General features: G+C 40.4%; 1 protein-coding gene across 5 annotated transcripts in view; it reads left to right on the forward strand.

Moving 5' to 3' along the window:
- Positions 1–22,654, forward strand: part of DDX42 (DEAD-box helicase 42) — a 45,518-nt gene that overhangs the window by 20,607 nt on the left and 2,257 nt on the right. For 4 of the 5 annotated variants that reach the window (XM_047435282.1, XM_047435281.1, NM_203499.3 and 1 more), the window contains 14 exons: positions 3,632–3,693; positions 5,183–5,219; positions 6,062–6,211; positions 10,665–10,769; positions 12,129–12,248; positions 13,318–13,494; positions 14,414–14,542; positions 15,154–15,253; positions 16,107–16,154; positions 16,670–16,767; positions 17,526–17,802; positions 18,822–19,048; positions 21,157–21,267; positions 22,462–22,560. In XM_047435282.1, coding sequence (XP_047291238.1) covers positions 3,632–3,693; positions 5,183–5,219; positions 6,062–6,211; positions 10,665–10,769; positions 12,129–12,248; positions 13,318–13,494; positions 14,414–14,542; positions 15,154–15,253; positions 16,107–16,154; positions 16,670–16,767; positions 17,526–17,802; positions 18,822–19,048; positions 21,157–21,267; positions 22,462–22,560 — 1,740 coding nt within the window. Of the gene's footprint in view, positions 1–3,631; positions 3,694–5,182; positions 5,220–6,061; positions 6,212–10,664; positions 10,770–12,128; positions 12,249–13,317; positions 13,495–14,413; positions 14,543–15,153; positions 15,254–16,106; positions 16,155–16,669; positions 16,768–17,525; positions 17,803–18,821; positions 19,049–21,156; positions 21,268–22,461; positions 22,561–22,654 lie in introns of those variants that run through there. The other variant, XM_047435283.1, reaches the window with a different exon arrangement.

Consider the following 22,654-nt stretch of genomic DNA (forward strand, 5'->3'; position numbering starts at 1 on the left):
TGGCATGCTGCTGTAGTTCCAGCTACTTGAGAGGCTGAGGTTGTAGTGAGCCATGATCATGCCACTACTCAGCCTGGATGACAAAGTGAGACCCTTTCTCAACAAAATGAAACCAAAAACTATCACTTTAGACTATGTGCCGTAGCTCACACCTATAACCCCCAGTATTTTGCAGGGCCAAGGTGGGAGAATTGCTTGAGGTTGGGCAGCATAGTGAGACCCTGTCTATAAAAAAAAAAAAAAATTTGGCCGGGCACAGTGGCTCACGGCTCACATTTGTAATCCCAGCACTTTGGGAGGCCGAGGTGGGCTGATCAACAGTTTGAGACCAGCCTGGCCAACATGGTGAAACTCCATCTCTACTAAAAATACAAAAAAAATTAGCCAGGCATGGTGGTGCATGCCTGTAATTCCTGCTACTCGGGAGGCTGAGGCAGGAGAATCGCTTGAACCTGGGAGGCAGAGGTTATAGTGAACCGAGATGGCGCCATTGCACTCCAGCCTGGGCAATAGAGTGAGACTCCATCTTAAAAAAAAAAAAAAAAAGAAAAATTGTCACTTAATTAGTTATGAAATAAAATCCTTTCGGATTCCTTAGTTACTTGTCTTCAGCCAGAATACACCTCTCCTCCAAGGAAGTAGGGAAAGAAATAATCCAAGATTAATGTGTTTTTGTTTGGCCTAGACATTGCTTTTTTAAAATGTGAGCCAACATTTTTAGTATCAGGGGATCTTGTCTAATAGTTCAGACTGTTGAAAAAAGGAAGATCTGGCAATATACTAAGTCTGTGTTTTTGTGTGGCAGAAAGAGGCTATTGCTGAGCAAATGGCTGCCTACATTAGACAAGGCATGCTTTTCCTTGCTCACCATAGTTACATCAATCCCTGTTTTCTTCTTAACCTTGAGGCCACTGTTTATAGCACCATTTGTCATTTCTCTTGCACTGTAATTTTTTTCTTTTGAGACAGGATCTCTCGCCCAAGCCAGAGTGCAGTGGCACCATTACAGTCACTGTAACCTCAAATTCCTAGGCTCAAGTGATCCTCCTGCCTCAGCCTCCCAAGTAGCTGGAACTACAGGTGCACGGCACCACACCACCACACTTGGCTAATTTTTAGAAAATATTTTTTCCCAGGCCGGTCTCAAACTCGTAGCCTCAGGCAGTCTCTCCACCTTGGCCTCTCAGAGTGCTGGAATTGCAGGTGTGGGTCTGTGCCCAGCCTCTGTATTGTAATTTTTCTTAGGGTGGAGAATTATTTTTCTGAACTTAGTTCTCTATCAGATATCAGAAAACAAAAGACTCAGGGTGATGTAAGAAAAATTAGAGTACATTTCTGTAGAAGAATATGCCTACTTATTTCCAGTTTGGTCTTTGAATTTGCCATCTTTGATTTATAACAACTTAAGTTACTTACTGAAGAATATACACCTAATAGGTGGCAGAGCCAAAATTCACCTCCAAACCCCATATTCCTTATGCAGTATCATTCTGTATCTGAGTTCTTATAGTGTTGTGTATTTCTGCCACTTACAAACTATACAGGATACTTACCAAACACCCAGACTATTCAGGGTATACGTGTGTCTTGCAGCATAGTAGGTATTTAGTTAATATGTTAAGTGATTTACCCTAGGAGTAAAGGCAATAAATGAATTGTCATCTTTGAGATGTCTTGTATGCGTTGTTTTCTTCATCTTCTTGAGATACGAACATTTCCTAATGGGCTATGTTTCCTAGAGAATCTGGTCTCGTTATTTCTTGAGGGATCCCTAGTGATGAATTAAAAGAAAAATTAGCTCTGATTTTCTGGGTTTAAATGTAGATTTATGGTAGTACAAACTGGCATAGCCCTTTCTGAGTGACAGTATCCGAGAATAGGCTAAATTCTTTTGCTTGGCCTTTTTTCTTTTTGGAGGGAGGAATGGAGCTTCACCCTTGTTGCCCAGGCTGGAATGCAATGGCTCAGTCTCAGCTCACCACAACCTCTGCCTCCCGGGTCCCGGGTTCAAGCGATTCTCCTGCCTCAGCTTCCCGAGTAGCTGAGATTACAGGCATGTGCCACCATGCTTGGCTAATTTTGTATTTTTAGTAGAGACAGGGTTTCTCCATATTGGTCAGGCTGCCCTCGAACTCCTGACCTCAGGTGATCTGCCCGCCTTGGCCTCCCAAGGTGCTGGGATTACGGGCGTGAGCCACCGCACCCGGCCCAGATGTCAAATTTTATAGAAAGTATAAACTTTTCTAGTGCTTGAACTAGATGAAGATTTATTTTTAGCCAGTGTTCTGAAAAAGGATTTATGTAGGCTTAAACAATATGTTCTACCACTTTTGGTGACCTGTTTCTTATGTTACATTGCTTATGTCATCTTCAGTTTATAGTCTTAAATATATCTTATAGCTGGTTCAGTCCTCCGAAAAGTAGGTTGTTTGTATGCATTGCTTCTCTTTAAAACAATTTCTCTTCATCAGGAACATTTGGTTTGATAGAACACCCGATCATGCCACAGTATATATAGTGGCATTTTTAAAAATCTGAGATTGCCAGAAAAACTCACGGTGCTTTATAGTGAGAAAAAGTTGTGCAGAATGTGTATAAAGCCTTGGGAAAAATCATTTAACTCTTCTGACCTTGATTTTCAAATGTATAATGCAAATGATTAATTTTGATCAGTGATCATCAATTTGCAGTATATAAAAATTGCCTAGGCCGGGCGCGGTGGATCACCTGAGGTCACGAGCTCGAGACCAGCCTGACCAACATGGAGAAACCCCGTCTCTACTAAAAATACAAAATTAGCTGGATGTGGTGGCTCATACCTGTAATCCCAGCTTACTCAGGAGGCTGAGGCAGGAGAATCGCTTGAACCTGGGAGGAGGAGGTTGTGGTGAGCCAAGATGGTGCCATTGCACTCCAGCCTGGGCAACGAGAGCGAAACTCCATCTCAAAAAAAAAAAAAAAAAAGAATTGCCTATGAAAAATGTAAAAACTACACACATTTAACTCACTCCAGCCCCAAGGATTCTGATTTAGTAGATGTAGAACAGAATTTTCAGCCTTGAGACTACTGTCATTTGGCGCTGGATAATTATTTGTTGTGGGGCTTTCCTGTGTATTGTAGAATGTTTAGTAGCCATCCTCCGCCTCTAGAAACCAGTACTATCAGCTGTACCACCCCCAAAATTAAAAATGTCTCCAGACATTGCCAGATGTTGCCTAGGGGCAAAATTGTCCCAGATTGAGAGCAACCTTTCCAGAGTCAGATGTATGTGGTCTTAAGCTATACTTTGAGGAAGGCCTATCTGCCTGAATTGAAAGCACTTTATATCTGTAATTTTATCATTAACTTAAAGCAACTTAAGGTTATGTATTTGTGAAGCAAGCATTTTTGTTCATTTTTCCATGTGTGGCACATTATTACAGATAAAATTGTGCAGTCCATATACAGCCAATTTATACAGCATTTAGTTATTTCTCTTTGAAAAATAATTGTCAAAATGCAATTTGATGGCATCAAAATGCACTTGTCAAATACATAGCTAAAGCTATTATGGCACTTGTTCCAATCTAAAAATTGTTTCTTTCAGTGTTTTTAGTTGATGTCATTCTATACAGCCTTTTGTTTCATTAGGATCAGGCAGCTAGAGACATGAAGAGGCTTGAAGAAAAGGACAAGGAAAGAAAAAACGTAAAGTAAGTTGTTTTCTTCTCCCTCACAAAGGTTACGTGAAAACTGCTGAAGTATTGCAAAGTCTATTCCCCCAAAGTTTATAGAGAAAAAATATTGACGTACACTTGTGTACTTTACTTGAAGTTATTCCTGTATCTTGAATACTTTAAGAATAGAGATGGCAACAGTCTTTGCATTTGCAATAATTAAAAAGCATTCAGTTTGGTAGAATAGTATTTGGTCTTTGACTATAAATAGTTGTTTAGTAAACACAAGGAATGAATTATAGTAGAGTTTAGGGGAGCATAATTATTAAAGTTTAGGCTCATTGTTCTGAGTTTGTCGCATAATTAATATAAAATAGGTTTATGCCTATATGGTTGATTATGAGAAGTAATGGCAACTGTATCATGAAAACTATGTATAGTTGAACCTTTGAACAACACAGGTTTGAACTGCGTGAGTCCACTCATGGGGATTTTTTTCAACCAACACAGGTGGAAAAATAATATTCACAGTATAAAAACCTGTGTATAAGGAGGGCTGTAATAATACCTAATTTTATTTAGCTCCAGAGTGACATTGTGCTGTAGCAGCCATAGTCAGAACTTGAAGTACTTTATTTTCTGGGAAAGAGAAGTCTCTTTGCCTTGATGAATAAACTCCTAAGGCTTTTTCTGCCAGTCATGATTGGACTTTTTTCTCCCTGTGCTTGGCAGTCAGTGCTTCAGTCCTTTACCAGGGTTTCTGTTCCATATGGAGATTTAGCTGTGGTTTTGGTATTCACTGTATGTCATATCCCCTTCCACCTGCCCTGCACTGGTGGTGTTGCTTGCCGGTTGCCTTAGGAATAGCAAGCGCTCTAGGTTAGGCAGAAAGTCTGATTAGAAACAGATGGTTGTGGGAACTAAGCAACCATATTTTCTCTATAGCTCCTGAGACATACAGCAAGTGGTGATGGTCCCCTTCTCCATGTGAACTGTTTAAGCGTTTTATTCCCAAACTCATAAAGGAGTTAATGTAGTTTTCACTCTGTCCCCATCCCTAAGGTAACTGCTTTTGGCTGAAAACCATTTACCCTAGAGCTAGAAACTTTGGGGACAATAAGAAGGTTGTGACCTTTCTAGTATATGCCAAATACAAGATTTTTTTTTTCTTTTTAGTATGAAATACTTTTCACAACCGCATTGTTTGTTGTATGGATTCACAAAACTAGGACCATTTGGTATCTGTCTTCAGAAAGTTTTTACGTCTGATATCCTTGTTGGTAACCGCTGTTTCTAGGGGTATCATATCATCCCATTTAAAAGAAATGCAAACTGCAGATTATAGAGTGCAGCTACACATATATATAATGGGGTGGATAGTTTATAGTGTGCTCATTGCTGCTTTGTTATTATTAGTGTTGAGAGTTCCTGTGCTGTGTGGAATTCAACACTAATCTGCTGTAAGTATGGAGCTGGGTATGTGGAACATTTGCAGGGAAGTTTGTTTCTCCGCTTGTTTTTCCAGGGGTATTCGAGATGACATTGAAGAGGAAGATGACCAAGTGAGTTCCTATGCAGTATTTCTATCTTTTATTTTTATCCACAAAGTCTATACTGGGGACAAGCTAGAGCTTGCCTTCACTCAAAATGGCCATTCCTGACATTCAGCAGGGAATGTCATTTGATTTGCTCCTTTTGTACCTGTGTGACCAATTGGTAATACATAGATTCACATGGCTTTCCCCCATATTGAAGATGGAATTTTTGATCAACTGTGACATCCAAAGCAAATACGAGCTTTATTCAGCTTGCTTCTTTTTAAATCCAAAATTAATGTTTATTCTGATAAATCAAGTGGTAGAGTAGTGTGGGATCTATTGATGGCCTCTGGTAACATCTAACCTCTGTCTCTTAGTAAGTGTCCTGTTTGTGGTTCTTGTATTTCAAGCTGGAACATTAATTACTGTCCATTAGTCTCTTTTCCCCCATTGTTCAGTTGTGGAGTGATGAGAATCAGAGTGAGTGGTAGCCGTTTCCAGGTTTGTGACCTTTCTAATTAGCGTTAACTTCCAAACTTGGATTGTTAAAGCCACAGCATGTGTTCTATGGCTCTGGGCAGGGTTGATAGACACCCCACTCCAGGAAGGCTGTGGAACAGACAGATTTGTAAGTCTTCTATTAAACAAGTTGCAACATTTAATAGTACTAACTGTTTAATTCATTTCTTCTGATTGTTCTTCTGAATATTGCTATTATTAAAGGAATCATTGCTAGTAAGGATCTTGCCTTACTTGGTAGGTATGTTAACTGTGCAATTATCTGGTACACTATGTGCGCTAATTACAGGAGCAGAAACATTCTCAATTGTACTTGGGTGTGATTATGTTCTTGTGCTTTCCTGCAGGAAGCTTATTTTCGATACATGGCAGAAAACCCAACTGCTGGTGTGGTTCAGGAGGAAGAGGAAGACAATCTAGAATATGATAGTGACGGAAATCCAATTGCACCTACCAAAAAAATCATTGATCCTCTTCCCCCCATTGATCATTCAGAGGTATGGTGTTTCTTGCTGAATTTTACTCTTGTTTCAAGCTGATGCTTTACTTCAGCTTTAACATTTAGATTTTCTCAGTAGTGGAATACTCTTACATCATGAGCGTATGCATCTTGTCATCTCTACTAAGTGGTTGAGCCACAAATTCCATGAGGCTTTATAGCCTGTTTTGTTCAAAAGTATAACCAAATCACTTACATTTGACTTTAGAATTAAAACATTTTTTTCAAGTAATTGTACTTGTTTTCCAGAACCAATATTTCTTTCTTTTCTTTCTTTCTCTTTCTTTCTTTTCTTTCCTTCCTTCCTTTCTTTCTTTTCTTTCCTTCCTTCCTTTCTTTCTTTTTCTTTTCTTCTTTCTTTCTCCCTTTCTCTTTCCTTTTTTTCCTCTCTTTCTTCTTTCTTTCTTCTCTTCTCTTTCTTCTCTTTTATTTTCTTTCTTCTTTTTCTCTCTCTCTCTGTCTCTCTGTCACCCAGGCTGGAGTGCAGTGGCACAGTCTTGGCTCTCTGCAACGCTGACTCCTGGGTTCAAGCAATTCTGCCTGCCTCAGCCTCCTGGGTAACTGGGATTACAGGTGCCCACTACCATGCCTGGCTAATTTTTTTTAAATATTTTTGGTAGAGATGGGGTTTTGCCATGTTGGCCAGGCTGGTCTTGAGCTCCTGACCTCAGGTGATCCCCCTGCCTCGGCCTCCCAAAGCGCTGGGATTACAGGCGTGAGCCACCGCACCCAGCCTTGACATCTTTCTTTCAAACTGGGAACGTTTTGGCCTGTGTTTACTGTTTTTGTTGTTGTTGCTATATTGCCCAGACTGGCCCCAAATCCCCTGGCTCAAGTGATCCTTTCACTTCAGCCTCCTGAGTAGCTGGGACTACAGGTGCACACCACTGTACCTGGCATGCCTTTATTTTTTTGTTTATTTTTTTTCCAGACGAAGTCTTGCTCTATTGCCCAGGCTGGAGTGCAGTGGCGCAATCTTGGCTTACTGCAGCCTCTGCTTCCCAGGTTCATTTTTAGTAGAGATGGGATTTTACCACGTTGGCCAGGCTGGTCTCGAACTCCTGACCCCAAGTGATCCACCCACCTTGGTCTCCCAAAGTGCTGGGATTACAGATGTGAGCCACTGCATCCGGTCACATTTGTTTTTTTAATTGCTATAAATTTTTACTGTTGGTCCTAGATCTGGGGCAGATGAGAGGCTGTTTCTTCACAGTGGAGCCAGTAATTACAGGATCCTTAAGGAATGAGGACATCGGTATACCCACTTGAAAAAATATCAGTGTTTCATCCAGGTTAAATATCAGCCGAGATCTCACATACACTAATGATTCTAGATCTGGAGCAGTGGTTCTCAGTGTGGACCAAGAACCCCTTTCAGGGAGCCTACAGAGTCCAAACACTTTTCATTATACCAAGATTGTTTTCCTTTGTTACTGCATCAACATTTACATTGTTGGTGTAAAAGCAGTGATAAGTAAAACTGCTGATGCCTTAGCATGAATCAAGCCAGTGGCACCAAACTGTTCTAGTAGGCGTATTCTCTGTTCTCAGACCATTGCAGTTAAAAAGAAAAAAAAAGGCCAGTTTCACTCAAGAATGCCCTGAACAGTAAAAATTATTAAAGTCGTGACCCTTGAGCTACATGTCTTTTTATTCTGTGTGATAAAATGGGAAGTACGCATAAAGCATTTCTGTTGCATACCAAAATATGATAGCCATTTCAAGGAAAAGCACTTATGTGTTTGAGTTGTAAGGTGAACTAGCTACTTTTTTTCATAGAACACCACTTTCACTGGACAAAATCAATGACATTTCAAGGAAAACAATTGAAAGTGTTTATTACCCATGATAGACATTCAAGCTTTCGGCCAGACGCAATGGCTCACGCCTGTAATTTCAACACTTTGGGAGGCTGAGGCGGGTAGATCGCTTGAGCTCAGGAATTTGAGATAAGCCTGGGCAACTTGGTGAAACTCCATCTAAATTTTGTTTTTTAATAACAAAATTCAGGCTGGGTATGGTGGCTCATGCCTGTAATCCCAGCACTTTGGGAGGCCGAGGCGGGTGGATCACCTGAGGTCAGCAGTTTGAGACCAGCCTGACCAACATGGAGAAACCCCATCTCTACTAAAAATACAGAATTAGCCAGGCATGGTGGTGCATGCCTGTAATCCCAGCTACTCGGGAGAGTGAGGCAGGAGAGTCACTCAAATCCAGGAGGCGGAGGTTGCAGTGAGCCGAGATCATGCCATTGCACTCCAGCCTGGGCAATAAGAACAACACTCCATCTCAAAAAAAAAAAAAAATTCAAGCTTTCAAGCAAAAATTAGAATTTGGAAAACTTACATCTACCACAGTAGGCTTGACAGCTTTTCAGTACTTAAAGACCATTGTGACAAAATTGATGGTGATATTAGTAACTGATTTTTAATATAATGAAATGTGTTAACATTTGGATGATCTGTATATAACCTCAGTGAACCAATATTTTCCAAATGATCAATGTATGACATTACAAAGTCAAGCATGAATAAAAGCTCAACTCAAAATACATGATAAATAAATGGATTATAATGTAACAGAGTGTGAAAACTTCAGTAATATGGTTTCAGATTACACAATGAAAATAACTTTTAGGAAATGACCACTTGTCAAGTTTTAGTGTAAAATAAAAAGTATCTGAAAAGGGCTGGGTGCGGTGGCTCATGCCTGTAATTCCAGCACTTTGGGAGGCCAAGGTGGGCAGATCACTTGAGGGCAGGAGTTTGAGACCAGCCTGGCCAACATGGTGAAACCCCCGTCTTTGGGATTGGTGGCAGGCATCAGTAATCCCAGTTACTCAGGAGGCTGAGGCAGGGGAATCACTTAAACCTTGGAGGAGGAGGTTGCAGTGAGCTGAGGTTGTGCCACTGCACTCCAGCCTGGGAGACAGAGCAAGACTCCATCTCAAAAAAAAAAAAAAAAAAAGGTATCTGAAAAGGCTACTAAAATACTGTCCTCTCTTTTTCAACTACGTATTTTTCCTTTGCTTTTTTTTCTTTTTTTGAGATGGAGTCCTGCTCTGTCGCCCAGGCTGGAGTGCAGTGACGCAACCTTGGCTCACTGCAACCTCCTCCTCCTCCCGGGTTCAAGAGATTCTCCTGCCTCAGCCTCCCGAGTAGCTGGGACTACAGGTGTGTGCCACTACGCCCGGCTAATTTTTGTATTTTTGGTAGAGACGGGCTTTCACCATGTTGGCCAGGCTGGTCTTGAACTCCTGACCTCAAGTGATCCATCGGCCTCAGCCTCCCAAAGTGCTGGGATTACGGGTATGAGCCACTGCTCCAGGCCTGGAGGCAAGAATTTCTTATAGGCTTAAATAAAACCAACCTATTGCAATAATTTGAATATAGTAGGAGCTATTTAAGTCGACATTAATAAAGAGATTTGTGAAAATACAATAGTGTCACTCTTCTTCCAATTTTTTTTATGTATCCAGAACTATGATTTTTTTTTTTAACTACCTATAGAATGCTTATATTTTTCTTAAAAAATAAGTTTAAGAACCAGGCATGGTGGTGCATGCTTGGAGTCCCAGCTACTGGAGAGGCTGAGGCAGGAGAATCACTTGAGCCCAGGAGTTTGAGTCTAGCCTGGGCAACATAGCAAGACCCTGTCTCTGAAAAAAAAAATAGTTTATAAAAAATAATTTAGCCAAATTGATAGGTGGTGATGTGCTTATGTTTTGTATACCTACTACACTAAGCTATGAAAAGAATAATAGAAGTGACTACTACTTTCTGGAATTGGAAATTCTTGGCCATACATTTTTTAAAAGTTATAAACAACTCCATGTTTTTAAACAGAATAGAACTCCCTCTAAAAGCAGAGCTATCTCCAAAATAAATATTAGGAGTGTTTTTAAATGCTTAGAGCTAGGTTAAACAGCTTTATTCAAAACATATTTAAATGTTATATGGTGAAATATCTTCTCTGTCCTCTGAGGTCTTTGGCATTATAGAGAGATTCCTTAGTCTGCTTCAATGTTGTTCAAATTCGAGGTTTCCTTAAGAGTCTCTTTAGGAAGTAGGTTGGTGTTAGGCTAGGCACAGTGGCTCATGCCTGTAATCCCAGCTACTTGGGAGGCTGAGGTGGCGTGAGAATTGTTTGAACCGGGGAGGTGGAGGCTGCAGTGAGCCAGGATCGCACCACTGCACTACAGCCTGGGTGACAGAGCGAAACTGTCTCAACCAATAAAAGAAGTAGGTTGGTGTTTATATTGAAAATAGGAACAGAAAACAAACTAGCTATACTTTTTAGGATCTAAGCTGAGAATAAATTAATTTTTTTGCTTTCTCTAGCTGGAATGGCTTTACTTGTGTAAAATTTGGAAAAGATTATTTTGCAATAAAATCAAACTTACAGAATTGACTCTTGAATTCTAGACTAACTTTGAATAATTGGACCTGCAGATTGACTATCCACCATTTGAAAAAAACTTTTACAATGAGCATGAAGAGATAACCAACCTCACTCCACAGCAGTTAATAGATCTCCGGCATAAGCTCAATCTTCGGGTAAGCATCATTAAGCTCAATATTCTTAATATTAATGTTAATTAGTCCAGATTTAGTATTATTGGTTATCTAAACTAATAACCTTGAATTTCTTTTCTAATGGTCTCTGAACTGTCTTTGCCAGAGTAATTATTATATCCCTTCTGTTCATGTCTCTTAATTTGATTGTTTTAGTCTTCTAGATGCTGTTTTAGGATAGGATCATTTTCTTGTTTCATATTTCAGTCAGTTTTATATGTTCTGTGCTGGATGGGCTAGTGATGAAGGGTGGGAGTCCCCATCTAAAGGAAGAGGAAACAAAAGGAATAGATGTTAACAGATGATATCTTAGAATATTTTGAAATGAAGATAAACTTGTCTGTCAAATTACATATAGTATGCTTTATTTTAAAAATTAGAATAAACTAATACCTTTTAAAAATATGCATGTACTAATTTCAGAATGGTTTAAACTGCCTACCAGAAAGTTTTGGGCTGCACATTGGCTACATTGGTTTAAGGTGCTGATAGATGGTAAATGAAACACACAGAAAAAATATGCTATGCTATCTACTCTAATATAGACAACTTTCTCGCCTGTGTGCACCTTATCAGTTGCTACACGATGTTTAAACTCCTGTTTTCCAGGAGGGGTGTGTATTTGTGTGTGTACACTTGTCTGTTTTCCAAGAGGTTACTCATCTCCCCAGTGACCCAAGAAAAATTTTAAGTAAAACCCCTGAAATCCTGATTGGAAATATCAACATCACCAGAGAAGCATTGAAAGGTTACCACTTTGGGGGACAAAATGGAGATTATAAGCCCCATTCTTCACCTAGGTGCAGTTTGAACAGGGCTTGACAGTGGCTGGACCATCACTAAGTGAGACTTTAATTCATCAAGCATAACTGAAAATGGAGGCAGTAGATTATATCTTGGTAGCCAGCATGTGTAGACTTGTCTTATTTGGAGCCCACTTGGAATTTTCATTTCAAGAGTAAGATACATTAATTTTTTTCTACCATCTGGTTAATACTTAATGCAAAATGGCAAAAGAACAGTTATGGCTTCCCAATTCATTGAACAATTTTTTTTCCGTTTTATTTGTTATGAGAAAATTAATTTTGAGTTAAGAAATTTTTAATCATTTAAAATTGTATGACAATTATCTTGGGAATATTTATCATGGAGTTTTTAATATGAGGTTTATATTTGTTACCATTTGAGGTTTTTCCTTTTCATTGTATGATTTTGGCTTACAGACTTGTATTTTTACTTCATACTCCAGCTAAAATGCTAGATCCAGGTAAGTATTGTTGAACTTCAAATGCTGTTAATGTTGAAGTACAAGTCATTCTGGGGAGTTGTCTCTATCTCTAGGTCTCTGGTGCTGCACCTCCTAGACCAGGAAGTAGCTTTGCTCATTTTGGGTTTGACGAACAACTTATGCACCAGATTCGGAAATCTGAATACACACAGCCCACTCCAATACAGTGCCAGGTAAGTAAAACATAATGAAAGAAAAATAAAGTAGGGTAGTCTTTCATGACTATATTAATTTAAAAACAAATCACAGCAGTAAAACAGTGTTTAGTGTAGAACCTTGTTGATAAGGATAGAGGTATTTATCACTCTTAAGAAGTCACTAAATGGCTGACAAATATTCTTTTGTATCTGATACGTATGTTGAAAATATGATATGAAGAAAATAATTTATTAGGCCTAAACCTAACCAAAAAGGTTCGTATATAGACAAATTTAGCACTGTCAATGACTAGAATTCCTTCGTTCGTCACTTGAAAATTCTCATTCATTACTGAAAGTTTTAGCTTCTTTTTCCCATTTATATATGGGATTTATTTATTCTTATGCAGAACATTCTCATTTTCTGTATATGAATGAGATAGTCTGTACCTTCTTAAGGGGGGAAAATTTTTAAAATTTTAGCAACCCTTCATTATAAATTGCAATTTTTCTGTTTTGTTTTTGTTTTTGTTTTTTTTGGGGACAGAGTCTCACTCTGTTGTCCAAGCTGGAGTGCAGTGGCGCGATCTTGGCTCACTGCAATCTCTGCCTCCCAGGTTCAAGCAATTCTCCTGCCTCGGCCTCCCAAGTAGGTGGGATTACAGGCGCACGCCAGCACACCTGGCTAATTTTTTGTATTTTAGTTGAGATAGGGTTTCACCGTGTTGCCCAGGCTGGTCTCGAGCTCCTGAGCTCAGGGAACCTGCCCACCTCGGCCTCCCAAAGTGCTGGGATTACAGGCGTGAGCCACTGCCCGGCCTTGATTTTTCATTTCTGTATTTTAAACAAAATGGAGTTGTTTCTGTTCTGTAAGTGGTGGCTGATATCCACGTAATGAGAATGATGTCATTTCCTATAAATCAAGAAGTTAATGAGAATGTTGGATATTGATATTTCTATTTCACAACCAGTATGCATAGCACCAGGTATGTTTTGTTCCATTGCAAATAAAAATGTTAGTAGTCATTTATCATTCCCCAGGATTTGCTTCAGTACATCTTTAGAATTGAAATTTTAGAGTGGTTATATTTTACTTTTTCTCCAGGGTGTGCCTGTGGCATTAAGTGGTAGAGACATGATTGGTATTGCCAAAACAGGTAGTGGGAAAACTGCAGCCTTCATTTGGCCCATGTTGATTCATATAATGGACCAGAAGGAGTTGGAACCAGGTGATGGACCAATTGCAGTGATTGTGTGTCCTACCAGGGAGCTTTGCCAGCAGGTATGTGCTTTCTATAGAATGCCTCCTTCCATATGTGGACTAGCAAGGGACCAGCCAGTCAAGTGAGGTAGAATGACCAGGAAACTTTTTTTTTTAATTGTGATAAGATACACACAAAATTGATTATCTTAACCATTTTTAATGTACAGTTCAGTGGCATTAAGTATATTCACAGTGTTGTGCTACCAGGAAACTTTTGGAAAGTATTATGTGTTAAATATTTTCTATATAACCAAATACATATTTTCCCCTAAAAACTACTGTTTTTATTTATTTTTATTTATTTGCTTTTTTTGAGACAGAGTCTCACTCTTTTGCCCAGGCTGGAGTGCAGTGGTGTGATCTCAGCTCACTGCAACCTCCACCTCCCAGTTTCAAGCAATTCTCCTGCCTCAGCCGAGAGGCTGGGATCACGGGCACACGCCACCACACCTGGCTAATTTTTTTATTTTTAGTAGAGACGGGGTTTCACCATGTTGGCCAGGCTGGTCTCAAACTCCTGACCTCAAGTGATCTGCTTGCCTTGGCCTCCCACAGTGCTGGGATTACAGGTGTGAGCCACTGTGCCCGGCCAGAACTACTTTTTTTAAGAGGAAAAGCCTATTGTGATATGGGGATTGTTTGTATTATAAGCTGACAGTTTTTCTGTAGGATGAGTTCATTTTATCTTGGTAGAAAAGCAGTGACAGGATCAGGAAGAGAAGGGGGTAAAATGAATAAAAGATTTTAGATAATCTGTTGAGATGCAATAATGGTATTCCATTCATTTATACCTTTATGAATAAAATCGTGGTTTTAAAGTATGTTCTAGGTTTCGATTTTTTATGACATCACATTCTGTTTTTCAGAACTTCGTTTGGGTTGTGACAGGTATTTGTTAGTGTCACAGTTTGTTAATATATTATTCACAACTTTGTAGATCCATGCAGAATGTAAGCGGTTTGGAAAAGCATATAATCTTCGATCAGTGGCCGTATATGGAGGAGGGAGTATGTGGGAGCAGGCCAAGGCCCTTCAGGAGGGGGCAGAGATTGTTGTGTGTACCCCAGTAAGTATGCCTTGTGTTTAAATGGCTTCTCAGCCTCCCTCGGTATGGAAAACATGATTAGTTTTGCAGAGAATTTCCCCTAAAGTGTGGTAAAAGCAGGGTTGAAAATATACTGATGAACGGCAGGCTGTGGTTTTAATTTTGATTGGTGGCTAAATTAGCAGTTCAGTGAGAGTCTCTGTGACATATAGGCTAGTAGCTACAAATTCCCCTCTATGTCAAATAGTTTTTCTTATACTCTCCCACAAAATGATTGCCAAGTTCATCAAGAATCAGAAAGATACATATGGTCAGAATAGCCTAGAAGAGTGTAGTTTAAACATTGAAACCTGTCATTATGCTTTAAATCAGGTCACTTTAGAATGCCTCAAAAACTGCTTCTGGCCACTTTCCCACAGAATTTAAATCACAGTGTAAATGAAGATGCCGATTGAGTTTTCAAAATTTCTGTTCCTTTGAGCTAAGTAGTGCATAAGGTATGTGGCTGTTGGACCAGTATCTATTACAGTCTGAGACTAGAGAATTAGCACTTTTGCCAGGAGTGCAACTGCTTAGAAAGTCCCTGTGAATGCCTTTAATTATACTTACTGTTCATTTTGTTGATCTTATAGGGTCGACTGATAGATCATGTGAAAAAGAAAGCTACCAATCTTCAAAGAGTCTCTTACCTTGTGTTTGATGAAGCAGATCGAATGTTTGACATGGGATTTGGTATGCCTTGAATACCAGTTTCTTCTGTCCCCATCCTCATGATACTAGTTTTTTTTCCATGTCTTTCTAGACTGTTTTTTCAGCATGAGAGAAGCTAAAAATACTCCTGGATGGGGTTAGACTATAGAAATATAGCTAAGATGAACATTTTTAGGAGTTTTCTCTGGAAAAGTATGTTAGGTTTTATTGGGTTGAGGAAATTTCAAAGTGCCTTTGTATATAAGGGGAATATTTTCTCTGTCTTCATTTTTATCCATATGCCTTTGATCATAGAGGTTAAGGTCTGTGTTCTTGGGTAGATGAATGTCAGATCATTCGAGGCCCTTTGCTTTCCTATCCTCGTAGCTGTCTTTACTGATTGGAACACTGCTAGACCTAGCCCAGTTGGATGGAGGGAAAATTTTTCACTTTTATGCTGAATGATATGTTTAGGAGCTTCTTTTTTCTTGAGACAGAGTTTTGCTTTTGTTGCCCAGGCTGCAGTGCAGCGGTGCGATCTCACTGCAACTTCCTCCTTCCAGTTTCAAGCGATTCTTCTGCCTCAGCCTCCTGAGTAGTTGGGGTGATAGGCACCTACCCCACAGCCTGGCTATTTTTTTTTTTTTTTTTTTTTGGTATTTTTAGTAGAGATAGCTGTGTTGACCAGGCTGCGAACTCCTGACCTCAAGTGATCCGCCTGCTTCGGCCTCCGAAAGTGCTAGGATTACAGGCATGAGCCACTGTGCCTGGCCTGGGGTTTCTAATTTTCTTAATTCTTACAACTTCTTATGAAGACTTTTACTAATATGGCTTTTTCCAGGCTTCCCAAACTGTATTTCAGGTTATAATAATTTTATTGTTCTGTTTCTTGCAGAGTACCAAGTTCGATCCATAGCAAGTCATGTTCGTCCTGACAGGCAGAGTATGTATGAAGCACCTTTGTTAAACCAAATTTGTACTAAAAAGGGCACTTATTTATTTTATAAGCACTCAGAGTTATGGAAGTAAAAATGATCTTGTGTCTGTTGGTGAGAACCATAATAAGGGAGGTAATGAGTTTATCTGAGCTGGACAGGATCTTAGCACTAGATATAACTTGTTCCTTTTTATAGATGATAAAACCAAGGATCAGAAATTAAATAAACTGCCCTAAATTATACAGTTTTATCAGTGGGTAGAAGCAGTGTACAGTACAGATCTGCTGATTTGAAATCAAGAGTCTTTTTCTGAACCATACTGACAACTTGTCTTAACTAAAAATGTAATAAAAATAGAATAAGAGCAAATCTTTCCCTAGTGAATCAGTTTCTAAACTAAATTTAAAGTTCAGGTGAGCTTATGTAAAAAAACTGAATAATCCTGAATGCCAAAGAAGCTTAATGGGTATGCATAAAGATATCATATTGTTTCTCTAACAGAATTTATCTTACCTTTTAGCTCTCTTATTTAGTGCAACTTTTCGGAAGAAGATTGAAAAGTTGGCCAGAGACATCCTGATCGACCCTATTCGAGTGGTGCAGGGAGATATTGGAGAGGTAACCCTAAGCAGGGCTGGATGGGACCTTAATGGGTTTATTTCTCATATTATGGAACACAGAATTAATTTCTCACTATTGAGATAAAAAAAAAAGATGTTATGTTTATAGATGCAACATGCTTGAGATTGGGTATTTTGCAAGTTGTGGGGATAGACGTAACAAGACTGGCAAAATGTTGGGAATCATTGAAGCTAGGTGATGGGTATGAGTTGATTTTGTTCATTTTGTGTTTTTTTTGTTTTATTGAATGTCTCAAAACTTACAATTGTTTTAAAAAGGCTTCAAAGAGACAAAAAGATGTGCCTGGAAGCATCAGCGTATTAGGTTGGAACTGACGTTTTAATTATTGTGGTAGGGGCCTACGCAGGAGGGAAAGGGTGACCTGGAAGGCCTGGAAAAAATCAGGTTTCATTTCTTACCTGTACATATGCGCTATGTGAAAAATTACTCTGAATTGGGACTTGGAATTCAGTTATGGCTGCTTAGAGAATCCTTCAGTTGCTTGCCATGGTTATTGTTAAGGAAAGCTCTACAAAGTAGTGGGGCATACAAATTAGGTATGTACACCAGGTGGAGAGCAAGGTGATTGGAAAGGAGAGGTGAGTTTTGAGCTGCACTTGACTTGCTGAAGGCCCAAGGAGAACTGGGATTGTTCAAGGTCTTCTCGATGCAGGTAGAAATATAATGCCTAGTCCTTGTTCAGGTGCCCTGTGGCTCCAATGTCACAATCATCTGTTTCATTTCTTCCTTCTCAGGCAAATGAAGATGTGACACAGATTGTGGAGATTCTCCATTCTGGACCTAGTAAATGGAACTGGCTTACCCGGCGTCTGGTAGAATTTACCTCTTCAGGGAGTGTCCTCCTCTTTGTTACTAAAAAAGCCAATGCTGAAGAGCTAGCGAATAACCTTAAACAGGAGGGTCATAATCTTGGGCTGCTCCATGGGGATATGGATCAGAGTGAGAGAAACAAGGTCATTTCAGACTTTAAGAAAAAGGACATCCCAGTCCTGGTGGCCACAGATGTTGCAGGTAGAGTATGAATTTTTCAACAACATTAAGTTCCTAGGCTATAAGGGTACTCTGTCTTACTACATAAGACCTATAATATCTGAGCAGGCTGATGGAAAGACTGTTGGCCTGGCTGGCCATCCCCTCCCAAACCCCCAAGGAAGCAGCAGTTCAGCACAGGGATCACAGTCTGGAGCTCTAGATACCACTTTTCACTTAGTATTTCTCTCTAATCAAAGAATCCCTGCAGCTAGAAGTCACTCTGGGAAAAAAGGCAGTGAATGCCCTTATTGTATGTCTGAATATAGTAGATACCTTACCCTTACATTGATCTACTATACACAGCTTAGTTGGGCAACTTAACTCAGGATGAGAACAGTTTTTGGAATATAATTTCTGGATTTGTTCTGTCAAGTTTTAATAACTACCCTTAAACACTGATATTTTTTCCTAGAAAGGAGAGAACTTCTCAGCTTCATGACACATTTTAAATATATATTCCCAGTGCAAGAGAAGAGGGCATGGCAGATTACTGATGCAAAAGATAAAAGTCCCAGTCGGGCACGGTGGCTCACACCTGTAATCCCAGCATTTTGGGAGGTGGAGGCGGGCGGATCACCTGAGGTCAGGAGATCGAGACCATCCTGGCCAACATAGTGAAACCCCGTCTCTACTAAAAATACAAAAATTAGCTGGGTGTGGTGGCGCGTGCCTATAATCCCAGCTACTTGGAAAGCTGAGGCAGGAGAATTGCTTGAACCAGGGAGTCGGAGGTTGCAGTGAGCCGAGATCATGGCACTGCACTCCCGTCTGGCAACAGAGCAAGACTCCGTCTCTAAAAAATAAAAGTCCCTTACACTAGAAGGCCTAACATCATAGAATCTGTGGTGGTGACTTAACATGCCTGTATCTCAGCTCACCAAACCCATGCGCTTTGCCTAGATAAAGGAAATGTGGCTTATTAGCACTAGCATTTCTGGTTACTTTGATCTTCTGACTACAGATGAAGAATAAAAGAATTTGGTTGCTTTTTATTTCAGCCCGTGGTCTGGACATTCCTTCAATTAAGACTGTCATTAACTATGATGTGGCACGAGACATTGATACCCACACGCATAGGATTGGCCGCACAGGAAGAGCGGGTGAGAAAGGTGTGGCCTATACCCTACTCACTCCCAAGGACAGCAATTTTGCTGGTGACCTGGTCCGGAACTTGGAAGGAGCCAATCAACACGTTTCTAAGGAACTCCTAGATCTGGCAATGCAGGTGAGGGGCTGGGCACACTTTCAATTGCTCCTGGTTATAAGACCAAGACATTTTAGCAGTCCTGGAACAGATAACATAAAAACTTGACAAGAAAGTTGGGTGGCTAGGAGGATGTGGGGCTTATGAGGTACAGATAGGAATTGTGAGATACTAAAATTCATCTAGTCTTATCTGGTCTTCTTCTTTCAACAGCATCTGTTTTGAAAAGCTATTCCTTTGTGCTAAAATCTGTCGCTGTAATTTCTACCCCATAGCACACTTAGGAGTAAATTTAATCTCAAAGATGGTTACTATTCTCCTTACTGCTCTTCCCCCACAAAATTTTTCTTCTGGGAGGCTAAAAATGTGTGATGCCTTTAAAACAATATGTGTATAGTATAGTGCCCCCCCACCTTTTTTTTTTGAGACAGAATCTCACTCTATCGCCCAGGCTGCAGTGCAATGGCACGATCTCGGCTCACTGCAACCTCTGCCTCCTGGGTTCAAGCAATTCTCCTGCCTTAGCCTCCCAAGCAGTTGTGATTACAGGCGCCCACCACCACGCCTGGCCAATTTTTGTAATTTTAGTAGAGATGGGGTTTTGCCATGTTGGTCGGGCTGGTCTCGAACTCCTGACCTCAGGTGATCCGCCCGCCTCGGCCTCAACCTCCCAAAGTGCTAGGATTACAGGCGTGAGCCACCGTGCCCAGCCTGTATGGTGCCTCTTAACTGTTCCTTGCAGAGATCTCAGACCTCTGACCACACTGATTGCCCTCTTCCAGGTGTGCTCCAATCTAAAGCTAAGTGAGGCATTCTAACAAATCAAACCTGGAGTCATCTGAATCCATGCTGTCCCCAAATTACAAATGGGTTCGGAACACTTTCTGAGAGCAGAAACTGTTAAGAGTTTGTCAAATGCCTAGGCCAGCTCACACAACTGGTACAACCCAGCTGCAATGTGGCAGTGCCCAAGTTTCTGGTCCTAGGAGTAAAGGACCTGCACTGCAGGAGAGAAGAGAATAATGTTTCCTCCCCTGCTCCTGAGCACAGAGAGCTAGTCCTAAATAAACTTTTAAAACAGGACACATTTTGACTTTGGCATTTTCTTCCATTTCTTTTTGTACCTCAGGCTTTCTGTGCTCAGGACTTTGTCCAAGCCTGCTGCCCTACCTCTCAAGCACTTTATTTTGCTGGTAATATGTGATTGTCAGATAAAACTTTAACCTTCCCAGAGACATTTGCTTTTTTTTTTTTTTTTTTTTTTTCTTTTTTCTGAGATGGAGTCACACTCTATCACCCAGGCTGGAGTGCAGTGGCGCAGTCTCAGCTCACTGCAACCTCTGCGTCTCCGGTTCAAACAGTTCTCCTGCCTCAGCCTCCCAAGCAGCTGGGATTAGAGGCATGTGCCACCATGCCTGGCTAATTTTTGTATTTTTAGTAGGGACGGGGTTTCACCATGTTGGTCAGGCTGGTCTTGACTCCTGGCCTCAAGTGATCCGCCCACCTCGGCCTCCAGAGTGCTGGGATTCATAGGCGTGAGCCACCGCCCTGCATTCTTAAGAGAATGTGAGTAAATATGTTGAGTGGCAATGGTCAAGTTCAATGAAAACTTTTACGCTCTGCGGGTAAATAAAATTTTCAGTTGTGTGGCTACCATCCTTTCTGGGAGTCTGTCCCTATAGTCAGTTCTGATAAGCCTCACTTCACATAGCATTTTTCCTTTGCTTCTGAACATACCAGTTGTTTAAGTTCCAAATGTTTACGTCCAATAATACATGGTTTGAGAAATAAAATATAAGCTCATTTTCCTCAAGGAAGTTAGAAGTAGCCAAAGTTACTCCTCTGGGTTTGAAGCTTACCTGAACAACTTCCCTTCCAGGAGAGCCTTGAGGGAGGGAGCACTGTAGGAAGCCTTAGATAAGGATCTCAGCCACTTTTCAAATTTGGTGGATTATGCTACCAAAGAGAAACCAATCTGTGGTTCCTGTGAAAATTCCTCCCTTAGCGTAGTGCTGGCTGAAAATTAAGCAAAAGTTCCCCCTTCCCACTTAATTTCCTCTTTGTCCTCGTTCTCTTCTTCTGTTCTTTTCTCCCTCCCTTGACTTAACCTTGAATTTTGTTCAATGCAGAATGCCTGGTTTCGGAAATCTCGATTCAAAGGAGGGAAAGGAAAAAAGCTGAACATTGGTGGAGGAGGCCTAGGCTACAGGGAGCGGCCTGGCCTGGGCTCTGAGAACATGGTGAGTCTAGACTACTACAGTAGTGCCTTTATAGTTGGTCTCATGTCCTGAAAGTCATTAGGAATATTCTCATCTACCCAGGAAAGCCTCAGTGAGTTTAAAGCCCTGTCTAGAAGGGAATTTGTATTTAATCTGATTTGAGTCAATGCAGTGCTCATTCTTATGGTAACTTTCTATTGAAGAAGCATCTTTGTGTACTTGGTTGACTAGGCTTGCTCAGGAAATTATTCTAGATTAGCAGTGATCTCACACTGTGGTCCCTGGACCAGCAGCACATGCAAACTCATCCCCAACCCCAGACCTTGTGAATCAGAAACTCTGGAGTTGGGGCCCAGCAGTCTGGTTTTATAAGCCCTTCAACACTGGCCTAAAGCCTGCTGCTAGGTAAATGTTGCCAAAGGGTCACTGTAAAGTCTAGCCATATCTTGTCATTAAACTCAGGAACGGATCAGGAATTTCCAAGTCGGGAGCTAGTTTTTCTCACAAACCAGGTAACAAATGTACCCTTTTGGTGGCCTTTCTTAACTGCCTGTTTTCTGTCACCTTGATTCCAAGCCAGGGAAGAAAGCTGCCAGTATACTTTTCTGGAGCATTAAACTTGGCATCTTTGTAATTACATACTCTGTTCCCACATTATAATAATAATGATGATGATGCATAATAATAGGTAATATTTATTGAGCACTTTATATGTGCCAGGACCATTCCAAGCAATCAGATGTTTTGGCTCAGTTAATCTTCAAAATAACTGAATGGAAGTTAGTACAGATAACAATGCTGAGGCACCTAAGGTTACAGTGACAAGTGTTCAAGCCGAAATTCAGACCCTTCATGGTCTTGATTCAGGGCCTGAGCAGTCACACAATATGCTATTCAGGGCCTTTTCATCTTTAACGTAATTTTTACTTAATTAATTGGAAGTGTTTATGTAAATACATGATCAACTTTGGGCATAATCTGATTGCATTTCTGTTTAATAGGGTTAATTTCCAGAAATAGAATTTCTGGGTTGAGGGCATAAGCATTTTTAAATGATTGTCACTGTGTCTTTTCTCACAAAGCAGTAGCAGCTTTCTAAAAGTATCCAGTTCCTTTGTAGCTCCCACTTCAAGGGTTTTCATAATGAGGCCTAGTCTATAGCAGTGAGCTTTCCTGCTTATTTTTTCATTCTCATAGATGTGTTTATTTTTTTAGGATCGAGGAAATAACAATGTAATGAGCAATTATGAGGCCTACAAGCCTTCCACAGGAGCTATGGGAGATCGACTAACGGCAATGAAAGCAGCTTTCCAGGTCTGAAATAAGCATTTCATTAAAAGCACTTTCAGCAGTAACTCTTGGGCAGTGACAGAGGGGCTTAGTTTTCCTGGTTGTAGCTGGGCGCCTA

This window comes from Homo sapiens, chromosome 17, assembly GCF_000001405.40.
Source record: "Homo sapiens chromosome 17, GRCh38.p14 Primary Assembly".
Taxonomy (NCBI): Eukaryota; Metazoa; Chordata; class Mammalia; order Primates; family Hominidae; genus Homo; species Homo sapiens.